Source organism: Homo sapiens, chromosome 17 (assembly GCF_000001405.40).
Source record: "Homo sapiens chromosome 17, GRCh38.p14 Primary Assembly".
Lineage (NCBI taxonomy): Eukaryota > Metazoa > Chordata > Mammalia > Primates > Hominidae > Homo > Homo sapiens.
This window is the reverse complement of record NC_000017.11, coordinates 77108736-77122907: the sequence shown is the minus strand read 5'-3', so window position 1 is coordinate 77122907 and position 14172 is coordinate 77108736. Positions and strand designations below refer to the sequence as shown.

Genomic DNA, 14172 nt, shown 5'->3' with positions numbered 1-14172 from the left:
TCTCAGGCTGCTGCAGACATGCGGTACCCATGAGGGGATGCAACCTGTGATGGAGGAGACACGGGGACTGCAGAGAGGAGAGGCAGAAAGAGCATCTCTGCCTTGGGTGGCCTTGGGTGGCGTTGCTGCTCTGGCCAGGCCCAGGCCCTCCTTCTGCCTTGCAGTTGTGTGTTCTTATCAGTGTCCTCATGGCACAACCCAGGGTGAGTCAGGGTTATCTGTTCGTGGCAGCTACAAGCAACGAGAGCACACGGTCATCTTAGAAATATGTCTAATGCAGAAATGCCAAAGGAAGAAAATAGGGTGGGGATGGTGCTTCATGCCTGTAATCCCAACACTTTGGGAGGCAAAGGCAGGAAGATTGCTCCTATGTTACCCAAGAGTTCAAGACCAGCCTGGGCAACAGAGTGAGATCCTGTTTTTACAAAAAATAAAAAAAGTAGCTGGATGTGGTGGTGTACACCTGTAGTCCCAGCTACTCAGGAGGCTGAGGCAGGAGGATCACTTGAGCTCGGAAAGTTGAGGCTACAGTGAGCCAAGATTGTGCCACTGCACTGAGCCTGGGTGACAGAGTGAGACGCTGTCTCAAAAAAAAAAAAAAGAAGATGAAGAAGAAAATAAAAATTAATGATAATCTCACTATCCAATGATAATCACAATTTATGTTTTCTTGCCTGCCCTTCTCTCTTAAACAACTGATTTGGTGTCACTAATTGCAATATATGATGTGATAACAGAAGCAATCCACCTACTGTGTGTAAAAAATTCAAATAGCACAATTGTTGAAGGCAGAAAGCAAATAGCTCCTGGAATCCCATCCCCTGAGTGGTGGACTCGGTAGTTTGTCATCTATTCTGGGAATGTTTGCCCCAGTATATCAATGTTTTCCAGTGTGTGGGCTGCTGCTGACTAATGCATGTTTACACAGCCTTTTAAGCCCAGATGAGCAAACTGTGGTGTTCCTCAGGCTTAGCTGAATGTCTGGGCCCTGAGAGTTGGAAGACAAGAGGAGCAGAAAGAATGGGGAAAGGAGGGTCCACTCTTTTCTGCAGGCAGCGTTGGCCTGGACAAAGTAACAAACTAGGGAGAGCCTAGGCTTTGAGCACAAAGGATTGGAGTCCCAGCTCCTGATTCACCGTTAAAGGCTGTGTGGCATTGGGCAGGCTCCTTAACCATTCTGAGCCCGTTTCCTCATCTGTAAAATGGGAATAATGCCTAACAGAGTGGTGAGGGTTAAAGATAGTGCACATGGGCCGGGTGCGGTGGCTCACGCCTGTAATCCCAGCACTTTGGGAGGCCGAGGTGGGTGGATCACGAGGTCAGGAGATTGAGATCATCCTGGCCAACATGGTGAAACCCTGTCTCTACTGAAAATACAAAAATTAGCCGGGCATGGTGGCACGTGCCTGTAATCCCAGCTACTTGGGAGGCTGAGGCAGGAGAATCGCTTGAACCTGGGAGGCAGAGGTTACAGTGAGCCGAGATAGTGCCACTGCACTCCAGCCTGGGTGACAGAGGAAGACTCTGTCTCAAAAAAAAGATAGTGCACATGATATGGCCTCAATAAATAGTGGCCATTATTCAAAATATTTGCCAACTTCCCGAATCTCTTTCTGCCTCTCCTACCACTTCTCCACATCTCTTTTCCCTGCCCGCTGTTGTCTTTGCTTTGTCGGCAGTAGCCAGGATGTTCTTAGCTGCAGACAACAGGATCCAGCCTAGCCAATTCAAGCCAGAAGGGCTTTAGGAAGAGATAGAGAGAGCTCATGTAACTGGCAGGAGGGCCAGCAATACAGGCACTAGGCAGGCTTCCAGGGACAACCAACTCTCAGGATCACACTGAAGAACCATCTCACCGATGGAGCTGCCACCTCACCCGGATTAGGCAGCTGCCAAGTCAGGATGTTGCTGCCTTGGTTCCTGCCTCCAGAGCCAAGCTCCCTCTGCCACAACCCACGATAACAAAACGATGCTCTGTTCCCTGCCTCTCTCTCACCTAAGTGAGTTCCGAGTCCAAGTCTCCTGTGGGGACATGCAATTAGCTGAATCTCAGTCACACATCGGAGCCCCAGCAGGGCTGACATTTCTGTGTTGGAAAGGTGATGCTTACAATCAGAATATGGAGAGAAGGGGCCGGTCGCAGTGGCTCACGCCTGTAATCCTAACACTTTGGGAGGCCGAGACCGGTGGATCACCTGAGGTCAGGAGCTTGAGACCAGCCTGGACAACAGGGTGAAACCCCACCTCTACTCAAAATACAAAAATTAGCTGGGCGTGGTGGCACGCACCTGTAATCCCAGCTACTTGGGAGGCTGAAGCAGGAGAATCGCTTGAACCTGGGAGGCAGAGGTTACAGTGAGCCGAGATCGTGCCACCGCACTCCAGCCTGGGCGACAGAGCAAGACTTCATTAAAAAAAAAAAAAAGAATGTGGAGAGAAGGATCAGAAACTCCGGGGCAGCCTCAGGTTGTGGATGCATTCCCTAGTTGGGGAGTAGAACACGCAGACACACAGCGACGTTCTAGACCTCTGTCCTCGTCCCTCTGTGATGGCACTGTGGTTGTGACATGCTCCAGGAAATCCCTAGCTGAGCTCCTACGTGAGTGGCAAAACAAGGCGGTTAGAACGCTTCATGCCTAGATGTACATGTCTAATGGGCACTTCATGATTCACTTTTTTTAAATTTATTTTTTATTTCTAAAGATAGGATGTCTCACTATGTTGCTCAGGCTGGTCTTGAACTCCCGAGCTCAAGGGATCTGCTCACCTCAGCCTCCCAAAGTGCTGGGATTTACAGGCGTGCACCACCACACCTGGCCATGATTCACATTTTTAAGACGATGTTTGTCAGTCTAATCTCCAGTCGATGGGCTCTCAGGCAGTATAACAAATGAGCTGAAAATGTTTTCAGTGCAATACGGGAAAGTATTCTTAGGGCAAATCCAGACTGAGGGTCAGGGCAGCCTGGGGAATGTCCCAAAGGTCAGATTCCCGAAGTTGTTCCTGACATTCCAAGCTGCTGCCTTTTCTGTGGCATTGGTTCAGAATGTATTTGCGAAGGTTCTAATTCTTCTCATAGTGACAGCTTTGGCAAGGGTGGGTGGAGCTGGTAGGTTTAAGTGCAGGTGGGTTTATGTAATCCAGGGATTATGTACATAATAGAAGTATGAACTGCTGGAGTGTAAGGGCCGTTTGAGGCAAGCCAGCCTGGGGCCCTCTCCTTATCAGTGAAAATATTAATTGCCTGCAATTAGAGATGATATTTCACATTCACTCAGCATAAATTATTTCATCAAATACATACTCTTTGATCCTGTAGGTGGATAAAATAAATACTGCTTCTCATCCTGCCAGAGAGCTTATTACCTCCTTGACAACAGCCACGTCTGCTCTTTCACAGGGATACCGGCTCCTTGATGGTGCTCCTCCATCTAACTTTGTTTAATTTAACGCCAATGAGGACCAGGTGTGATTTGAAACATCCTTCCAACCCCTGAAAGGTATTCCTTCCTGGGTAGGACAGAGTCTGGAATTCGCCCGTAATCCCTAAGGACAGGTGACCCAGTGATTGTCCAGGCTGTATTTTTTTTTTTTTTTTTTGGGATGGAGTCTCACTCTGTCACCCAGGCTGGAGTGCAGTGGCGCAATCTCGGCTCACTGCAACCTCTGCCCCCCAGATTCAAGCAGTTCTCGTGTCTCAGCCTCCCAAGTAGCTGAGATTAGAGGCGCATGCCCACACTCGGCTAATTTTTGTATTTTTAGTAGAGACAGGGTTTCACTATGTTACCCAAGCTGGTCTCAAACTCCTGAGCTCAGGCAATCCACCCGTCTCGGCCTCCCAAAGTGCTGGGATTACAGACATGAGCCACTGTACCCGGCCTGTACAGGCTGTATTTTTCTTCCTTCATCAATGCATGCAGAGGTTTGTTTTCTGAGATGTTAAGCAAGCTTTTGGGATGCTTCTTGGGAAGTCAGCAAAGCCAGGGCTTCCTTCATCCCGCTGAAGGTGGTGGGATGGTTTCTGGAAAGTACTAGCTATTTCTTTCCCATGCTAAGCCTCTTGGGATCACTTTGCCAGTCAAAGCCTGTGCTCCCTGCATAATCAGAGAGGAATGCTGTAAAGAGGCGATGGTGATTGACAGCAGCTTCTAGGTGCACCGCCTGCATGCACGCCTGCTACGAACATCTGAACAATTACAGGAAGGAGGCTGTCGAAATGCATAATTATAACCTTGACTTAGAAAAAGCATGATCTTCTCTGGTTGGGGCCGAGGCTTTCCTTACGTTAAGCGCATTCCCAGACCAGCAACTGGAGTGCTCCGTACATTGGACGTGGCAGCATCTGGAATATTACATAACAGAAGCATGTCCATTGCCCTTGGAACGTATGAGGCTCGGGGACAGTCCTCCACTCGGTGGAGACTACAAGGTCTCATTAATGAGTCACCTTTGTTCCCTTTTCCATCCTTTATAATTAGGGTGACATACATTCCATTTGGCCCAGGACAGTCTCCATATGTGCCTACTGAACGAAGGTGGTAATTAACAAGGCCTCCTTCACTCTCCGAAGGGACCTGACTGGGAGATAAACTCAGAGATCACTGATTTGTAATCCTCAAGGAGGACGGAGACAACGCCCAGGTGGCCATGGGCACCCTTGAAAGACCGCCTAGGTAAGAAGGCTTCAGGATAAACGATAGGGAAAAGCTGTTCCAGCCCCTTCCACAGTGCGGCCTGCCGCACTCACCCTTAATGGCTCTGAGCACATGCTCCCAGCTACTGGGACACTGGCATGAACAGCATGAGCCAGGTGGGCCTGATGGCCTAGTCAGTATGCCCAGATGGAAAAAATCAAATGATTCCCGCTGTCCAGTTGACCCTGAAGCTGACTGAGATTAGATGAAGCTTTGCTGTTTGGCGTCCAAGCCTTGGGCTCCCAGTCCTAGGTTCGAGAGAACTTCAGTGCCAGCCTTGTGTAGGGGGAGGTGAGGGATCCACCAGGGCAGTCTTGTTTTTAGGGCCTTCTTATCATGCTGGGTCCCATGGAGGCCCACTGCAAAAGGCCAAATCATTCTGTCATTCTGCATAGTCTCCCTTAAAGTGGTGGGAACGAAGAAGGAGGCACAGGAGATAATATTCAGGGAGTCTCAAAGACCAAAAGGTCCCCAAACGAAGCCCCTTTGCCCAACTTCATTGGAATGAAAGACTTTCTTATCCCTCAAGCCTACCAAATATTTCTTCCTGCAGGAGCTGGCCAGGGTCAGTAGGGCTGGGTTTTCTTGAGCAATTCATTGGTGACAGGCCAACTCCATGGGGAAAATTCTCATCTAAGAGTTGATCTGTGAAGTTATGCTAATTCATCAGCCCTGTCTAAAAGCTTCAGGGCAATTGATTAGGCTGTCAAACATTCATTTGGCCTGTGAGAATAGCTTATTATTTCTTTTTAAAATACCAATCTCTTGGAAAGATGTCGATTGGGTTTCTACGTGCACCCCAACGGTGCCTCTGTGTAGAGCTTACTTCAGCTGCATTTTTTTTGTTTTGTTTTGTTCTGCTTTTCTGAGACAGAGTCTCGCTCTGACACCCAGGCTGGAGTGCAGTGGCTCGATCTTGGCTCACTGCAACCTCCACCTCTCGGGTTCAAGCAATTCTCCCTCCTCAGCCTCCCAAGTAGCTGGGACTATAGGCATGTGTCACCATGCCCGGCTAATTTTGTATTTTTAGTAGAGACAGGGTTTTACCATGTTGGCCAGGCTGGTCTCGAACTCCTGACCTCACGTGATCCACCCGCCTCGGCCTCCCAAAATGCTGGGATTACAGGCATGAGCCACTGCGCCCGGCCTTCCATTGCATTTACTGCAGGGAATAGATAAAGACGGAAAACTGTTGGGTAAATGGAACTCAACTAACACCAGAGACAGCCAATTACAGCAAATGAAGAGGATGCTTACCATTTAATTTTGTAAAGATGGGGTGTCCGCCTGGAATCATGGTCCAAAAATCCTCCCACCCATGGCCCCAGCCCCCTCTCACAGCTGCAGTGGTGGATGAGACAGGGGACTTCTACAGTCCCACTTACCCCAGAGCATCCTGCCAGGTAAGCTCCTTACAGACATGAAAGAGGGTTGTGGAAAAGTCCATGAAATTCCAAGTTTGTTCAAACATCCTGTTACTGATAAAAATGTCCCTTCAAATTCCAAATTGGCTTTGTAGCAAATTTATGTCTGTACTACTTCTCAGACTTGTAAAACACAATATGCAAACAATGATGAAAAATATGAGCCTTTCAGTTTTACTCTGCCCCAAGAGCCAGGGGCTGAAAACCAGGTCCGTCACATGGCTCTCTGTTCAGACAGGAGCAGGTGCCTCCTCCCAAGTTCCCACTCCAGAACTTTACTTTGAGCCTCTTCCAACTGGAAGGTCTTTTCTCCCAACCTCTGCCCTCCACAATCCCACACCATCCTTCCCGGTTCATTTCCTCTGTGTGACACCGAGATTTAAGGGTCAGAATTAATTTCTCCTTCTTCTGGGTTCTGGCTCCGGGTTTTACTCACATCATTATTATAGTTCTCACAACAGGCTGCCTTATTTAGGGATTCCTCAGGCACACAAATTTCTTGCAACAGCAAAGACCCCTAAAACGTTTAAATCAATGTGAATTTTTACAGCATTTAAAAATATGTATGTCAGCCGGGTGTGGTGGCTCATCCCTATAATCCCAACACTTTGGGGGACTGAGGCAGGAGGAATGCTTGAGCTCAGGAGTTTGAGACCAACCTGGGCAACATAGTGAGACCCCATCTCTACAAATAAAAATAAAAATTCGCTGAACCTGGTGGTGTGCACCTGTAGTCCCAACTATTTAGGAGGCTGAGGCAGGAGGATCGCCTGAGCCCAGGAGTTGGAGGCTGCGATGAGCAGTAATGGTGCCAATGCACTCCAGCCTGGGTGAGAGTGAGACTCTGTCTCAAAATTTAAAAAAAAAAAAAAAGGAGAGTCAAAACTTTTGTCTTCTTTTCTTTACCAAACAATAAACTGACTTCAAACAGGCCTTGATAAAGAAGATTTTAAATATAGGTCTTCTTGCTTCATCCTGCCAAGTATTCTGAGATACTTGGAAAACAGCTCCCACGACCTCTCTCAGTGCTGATTTTGTTCCTTTTCACTTAGAAAACAGTGATTTGTTTCCTGTGTTTTGAAAGCAAGAGAACATGCTCCTTTGGTTGCAACAACTCACAATGTAATCAGCGCCTAAAATATCCCTTCTCTTGGAGGGGGCAGCATCAGGGAAGAACAGCAGCCACCCAGAATGAAGGCCCTAGACCTCCACCCCTTCACAGCCACAGTCAGGAGCAAGGGTCTGAGCCCCAAAAGGGGCCTGAAACAAGTGGAATTATTGTTGAAAACACCCTTGACCAAACTTTGCCACCAAAGGAAAAGCAGAAGGGCTTGCAGCTTTTTTATTTATTTATTTTTTTGAGATGGAGTTTCGCTCTTATTGCCCAGGCTGGAGTGCAATGGCACGATCTCAGCTCACTACAACCTCTGCCTCCCGGGTTCAAGCAATGCTTCCACCTCAGCCTCCCAAGTAGCTGAGATTACAGGCGCACACCACCACGCCCAGCTAATTTTTGTATTTTTAGTAGAGATGGGGTTTCACCATGTTGGTTAGGCTGGTCTTGAACTCCTGACCTCATGATCCACCCACCTCGGCCTCCCAAAGTGCTGGGATTACAGGCATGAGCCACCGTGCCCGGCCGGGCTTGCAGCTTTAAACAAAATACACAGCTGCAGATGCAGGGGCTGCAAGTTATATAAAACACCCACGTTTGCATTTCCCAGTTTATTTGTGACTGGTACATGGTCAGAGGCAGGCAGCAGCAGGACGGGCAGTTTTCTGGAGTGGTTCAAGTAAATGACTAAAGGCAAAACAAGAAAACAGTTCTCTTCTCAGGAACTGAGAAGAGACCTGTGTTCCTGCTATAGCTGGGAGCCTCCAGAAAATGCTACTGGGACTTAATGGCTTGTTTCAAGTGTGTGCCTGCCTCCTTTTTTTTTTTTTTTTTTTTTTGGAGATGAAGTTTTGCTCTTGTCGCCCAGGCTGGAGTGCAATGGCGCAATCTCGGCTCACTGCAACCTCCACCTCCTGGGTTCAAGCAATTCTCCTGCCTCAGCCTCCCAAGTAGCTGGGACTACAGGCATGCGCCACCATGCCCAGCTAATTTTTGTATTTTTAGTAGAGACGGGGTTTCACCATGTTGGCCAGGCTGGTCTCGAACTCCCGACCTTAGGTGATCTGCCCGCCTTGGCCTCCCAAAGTGCTGGGATTACAGGAGTGAGCTACTGTGCCTGGCCAGTGCCTGCCTTTTTTGTTTGTTTGTTTTGGGATGGAGTCTAGCTCTGTCACCTAGGCTGGAGTGCAGTGGCGCGATCTCGGCTCACTGCAACCTCCGCCTCCCAGGTTCAAGCGATTCTCCTGCCTCAGCCTCCTGAGTGGCTGGGATTTCAGGTGATCGCCACCATGCCCAGCTAATTTTTGTATTTTTGGTAGAGACAGGATTTTCACCATGTTGGTCAGGCTGGTCTCGAACTCCTGACCTCATGATCTGCCCACCTTGGCCTCCCAAAGTGCTGGGATTACAGGCGTGAGCCACCTTGCCCAGCCAGTGCCTGCCTTTTGAATCATGTGGTGGGGTGGAGGGAAGGCAGTGGCTCCTGGGATCATTTGTCACAGATATCCAGGTGGCCAAACAAAGGGTTTTATAAAAATGATCTTGCTGCAGGTGGGGATTGCAGGCTGACACCCACACCTCCTTCACATCCAGGGCGCCCTTTGCTGATTTTATTTGCACCCGCATTTAGCAGCCGGGATCTCTCTCCTGGGACCAGAAGGCTGTGCCTGGGGAGCATTTTAGGCCTGTGAGTAGGGTAGGGGACATTGAATCTCTGCACAAGGTGGGAATAATAGAAACTAACCTATCATGCTTAACTCTTTGCTGTACTGCAGAGGGAAGCGGAAGCTTTAAGGGTGTCCACTTCTCATCTAAATGGTTTTTGCCACAGACAGTGACTTCTTCACCCCAGCAGTGTCTCATGGGTGGCTTAGAAGGGAGATGAACTTACCTTGGTTGGTGTTTCAACTTTTTCTTTTCTTTTCTTTTTGAGACAGAGTCTCACTCTGTCACCCAGGCTGGAGTGCAGTGGCGCAATTTCGGCTCATAGCAACCTCTGCTTCCTGGGTTCAAGCAATTCTCGTGCCTCAGCCTTTTGAATAGCTGGGTCTACAGGCATGTGCTACCACACCTGGCTAATTTTTTTATATTTTTAGTAGAGACAGGGTTTCACCATGTTGGCCAGGCTGGTCTAGAACTGCTGAACTCAGGTGATCCACCTGCCTCGGCCTCCCAAAGTGCTGAGATTACAGGTGTGAGCCACTGAGCCCAGCCTTAACTCGTTCTTTATCAAGCCTGCTGATGCATTTTTGGGTGCATTCAGCCTGTGTCCCAGAAAAGTGCCCAAGAAGGGAAGGCTGGCTGGGAAGGCAGAGGTGAGAATCTGAGGTTCTGTGGGCCAAGGTGGCACTGACTTCTTATAGACAGGGAAGGTGACCTTCCTTTTTGGAAGCAAAAGAACTTTAAAATATTACTGGCAATACCAATACTCTGTTCTCAAGATAGAATTCGTTTCACATATTGTAAAAATCCTAGTAAAAAGCATTATTTTTCTTTTCTTTCTTTTTTTTGTTTTTCGAGACAAGGTCTTGCTCTAATGTCTGGGCTGGAGTGAAGTGGTACGATCTTGGCTCAGTGCAGCCTCAACCTCTTGGGCTCAAGTGATCCTCCTACCTCAGCCTCCGAAGTAGCTAGGACTACAGGCACATGTCACTATGCCTGATTAATTTTTTTGTAGAGAAAGAGTCTTGCTTTGCTGCCTAGGCTGGTCTCGAACTCCTGGTCTTAAGTGATCCTTCCACCTCGGCCTCCCAAAGTGCTAGAAGTACAGGCATGACCCATTATGCCTAAGTACTCTTTTTTTTTTTTGAGTCTCGCTCTGTCGCCCAGGCTGGAATGCAGTGGCGCGATCTTGGCTCACTGCAAGCTCCACCTCCCAGGTTCACACCATTCTCCTGCCTCAGCCTCCCAAGTAGCTGGGACTACAGGTGCCCACCATATTTTTTTGTATTTTTAGTAGAGATGGGGTTTCACCGTGTTAGCCAGGATGGTCTCGATCTCCTGACCTCGTGATCCACCCACCTCGGCCTCCCAAAGTGCTGGGATTACAGGTGTGAGCCACCACGCCTGGCCGCCTAAATACTTTTCAATTCATCTTTGTAACTGTTAACTGTTCAGGAACAGTATGCACTTCTCAGGGCTGTCCTGAGAGGTGGATTAATGAACATTGCAAAGACGTCAATATAGACTATAAATGAGATTTCATTCTTCTCATTTCAAAAGCAGTATGTGTATTCCTGGGAAAACTTCTGAAAATATAGATAAGAGAAAAGGATTAAGGGAAATCCTACCACTTAGAAATTATAATTCTTAACTTTTTATTATATACCTGTGATTGGCAACATAATAGCCCCCCTGCATTAGTCTGTTCTCACACTGCTATGAAGAGAGACCCGAGACTGGCTAATTTATAAGTAAAGAGGTTTAATGGACTCACAGTCCTGCATGGCTAGGAAAGTCTCAGGAAACTTACAATCATGGTGGAAGGCAAAGGGGAAGAAAGGCACTTTCTTCACAGGGCAGTAGGAAGGAGAAGTGCTGAGCAAAGCGGGGAAAGGGCCCTTATAAAACCATCAGATCTCCTGAGAACTCACTCACTAACACGAGAACAGCCTGGCAGTAACTGCTCCCATGATTCAGTTACCTCCCACCGGGTTCCTCCCAGGACACTTGGGAATTATGGAAACTATAATTCAAGATGAGATTTGGGTGGGGGACACGGACAAACTGTATCATTCTGCCCCTGGCCCCTCCCAAATCTCATGTCCTCACATTTCAAAACACAATCATGCCTTTCTAACTGTCTCCCAAAGTCTTAGCTTATTCCAGCATTAACCCAAAAGTCCAAGTCCAAAGTCTCATCTGAGACAAGGCAAGTCCCTTCCTCCTATGAGCCTGTAAAATTGAAAGCAACTTAATTACTTCCTACATACAATGGGGGTTCAGGCATTGGGTAAATATACCCACTCTACACGGAAGAAATTGGGTAAAACAAAGGGGCTACAGGCCCCATGCAAGTCCAAAATCTAATAGGGCAGTCATTAAACCTTAAAGTTCCAAATGATCCCCTTTGACTCCATGTCTCACATCCAGGTCACACTGATGCAAGAGGTGGGCTCCCATGGCCTTGGGCAGCTCCATCCCTGTGGCTTTTTGGGGTTCAGCCCCCCTCCCGGCTGCCGGCTGCTTGCACTGGCTGGCCTTGAGTGTCTGTGGCTTTTGCCCCACTGCACTCCAACCTGGGCGACAAAGCGAGACTCTGTCTCAAAAAAAAAAAAAACACTTCAAAAGAACTTTGGTCTCCACAATCTTTTATCTTAACCTCAACATTCCCTTTCTATCAATCCCACGTCTTTAGACAAACTCAGCCAAAAAATTGTCAACCAAAAAATCTTTAAATTCACGTATAGCCCGGAATCCCACCCCCGGCTTTGAGTTGTCCCGCCTTTCTGGACCACACACATGTATTTTTTTTTTTTTTTTTTCTTTTTGAGACAGAGTCTCGCTCTGTCACCCAGTGCAATGGCACAACCTCGGCTCACTCCAACCTCTGCCTCCTGGGTTCAAGCGATCCTTCTGCCTCAGCTTCCCGAGTAGCTGGGATTACGGGTGCCTGCCACCATACCCGGCTAATTTTTGTATTTTTGCAGAGATGAGGTTTCACCATGTTGGCAAGGCTGGTCTCAAATTCTTGACCTCAAGTGATCCTCCTGCCTCGGCCTCCCAAAGTGCTGGGATTACAGGAGTGAGCCACTGTGCCCAGCCCCAATGTATTTCTTTTTTTTTTTTTTTTTTTTTTGAGACAGAGTCTCACTCTGTCGCCCAAGCTGGAGTGCAGTGGCACAATCTTGGCTCACTGCAAACTCCCGGGTTCACACCATTCTCCTGCCTCAGCCTCCCGAGTAGCTGGGACTACAGGTGCCTGCCAACACGCCCAGTTAATTTTTTGTATTTTTTTTTAGTAGAGATGGGGTTTCACCCTGTTAGCCAGGATGGTCTCAATCTCCTGACCTCATGATCCACCCACCTCAGCCTCCCAAAGTGCTGGGATTATAGGCATGAGCCACCGCGCCCAGCCAGCCCCAATGTATTTCTTAAATGTATTTGATTGATGTCTCATACCTCTCTAAAATGTTTAAACCAAGCTGCGTCCTGACCACCATGGGCAAATGTTCTCAGGACCTCCTGAGGGCTGTGTCTCTGGCCATGGTCACTCATATTTGGCTCAGAATAAATCTCTTCAAATATTTTATACACTTCGACTCTTTTCATCAACAATCATCACCCAGGGCAAAGTTATTCCCAGAGCCACTTCCATAACTGATGGCTGCAAGATCCAGGCTCTCTAAAGGGAGGCTGAGGACAGTGACCCTAGGAAACAATCATTTTTCTTTTTGTCCAACAATGCAAGCCACTTCCTCTCTCTGCAACCAAGAATGCGTTTCCTTTCCGGAGCTCAGTCAACCAGTGTAATTACTCGAGCAGAAAAGTCACCTTTCAGAGCTTGGTGTTCTGAGACAGGAAGGCTTCTTATGTATTCCTTGGAAGACAAAGAATGTTCCTCAATGAAAACCGGGTAAACAACTCCATGCCTCTATTCTGGGTAACATGACAAAAGTTAAAAGGAAGCAGTTGGCCTGAAGTCAGTTCCAACTATTGTGTTGCTTGCACAGAAAGTACGGAATTAAAAAGCATGGGGGAGTCCAGTGGATTCCAAGAAAATGTTTGCGAGCCTACAAATTATGATGAATTATGATGCTATTTTCAAAAAAAGAGGCATATTAGGATATCAGCATTTTACGCATTTAGTTAATGTAACAGCTAACAGTCTGCTAAACTGTGGTGAGGCTGGGGACTCTAGTGGCTGGAAATGAGTAGATGCTAAGTACTGGTAGACTGTTTTGTTCCTTTTAGAACATATGGAACGGCATATCCTTCCAAGGCTGAGCATTAAACAATAAAAGCTACAGAAAGCAAAGAGAAAATATACCTTTGAACAGTTAGTTTCAGTTCGTTCTCTTTCAGAGTGTTAAACAAAAATCATAGGAGGCCCTTGTTTTGGACTAAACTCCTGCACTAGGCCCCAAAAGACCAGACAAAAATCAAAATGGAGTCACCCGTGCTCAGCAAACCAACACTGAGTTGTTATCTGACTTCCCAAGAAATCAGGCGAGAGAAATAGCAGCCTAATTTCCCAAGGAGGCCAGTTTCAGTCTCAAGTCAGCATGCTAATGAAGTTCCCTCTGTTTTAACCCTTACAACAAACAGTAACTTGGTGGGCTCTGTGACCCACGCCTATGATCCCAGCACTTTGGGAGGCCCAGGCAGGAGGATCACGTGAGGCTGGGAGTTTGAGACCAGCCTGGGCAACATAGCAAGATATCATCTCTATAAGAAAAAAGAGATGTAACTGTGACTGGTTATCTTTTTCTTGTTGTCTTTGTATTGTCCTGTATCTCTTCCTGCCTTACAAAGAATTTAACTTTGAAATGACCAATATGCTTTTTGTTCTGTTTCTGCTTTCTTCAGCCCTTAGTCTATAAAGCCAAACCCCAGGCTGGGTGCGGTGGCTCACGCCTGTAATCCCAGCACTTTGGGAGGCCAAGGCAGGATGATCACCTGAGGTCAGAAGTTTGAGTCCAGCCTGACCAACATGGTGAAACCCCATCTCTACTAAAAATACAAAAATTAGCTGGTGTGGTGGCTGGCACCTGTAATCCCAGCTACTTGGGAGGCTGAGCCAGAAGACTCGCTTGAAACCGGGAGGCAGAGGTTGCAGTGAGCTGAGATCAAGCCACTGCAGTTCAGCCTGGGTGACAGAACCAAACTCTGTCTCAAAAAAAAAAAAAGAAACAGATGACATATACATTCTTTTTTTTTTTTTTTTTTGGAGACAGAGATGAATGTATATATACATGTCAGCTGTTTCTTTTTTTTTGAG

The 14172-nt window shown here is 47.5% G+C and overlaps 1 protein-coding gene across 2 annotated transcripts in view; it reads right to left on the bottom strand.

Annotated features, from left to right (window-relative positions):
- Positions 1 to 14172, bottom strand: part of SEC14L1 (SEC14 like lipid binding 1) — a 128417-nt gene that overhangs the window by 94194 nt on the left and 20051 nt on the right. The window lies entirely within an intron of this gene.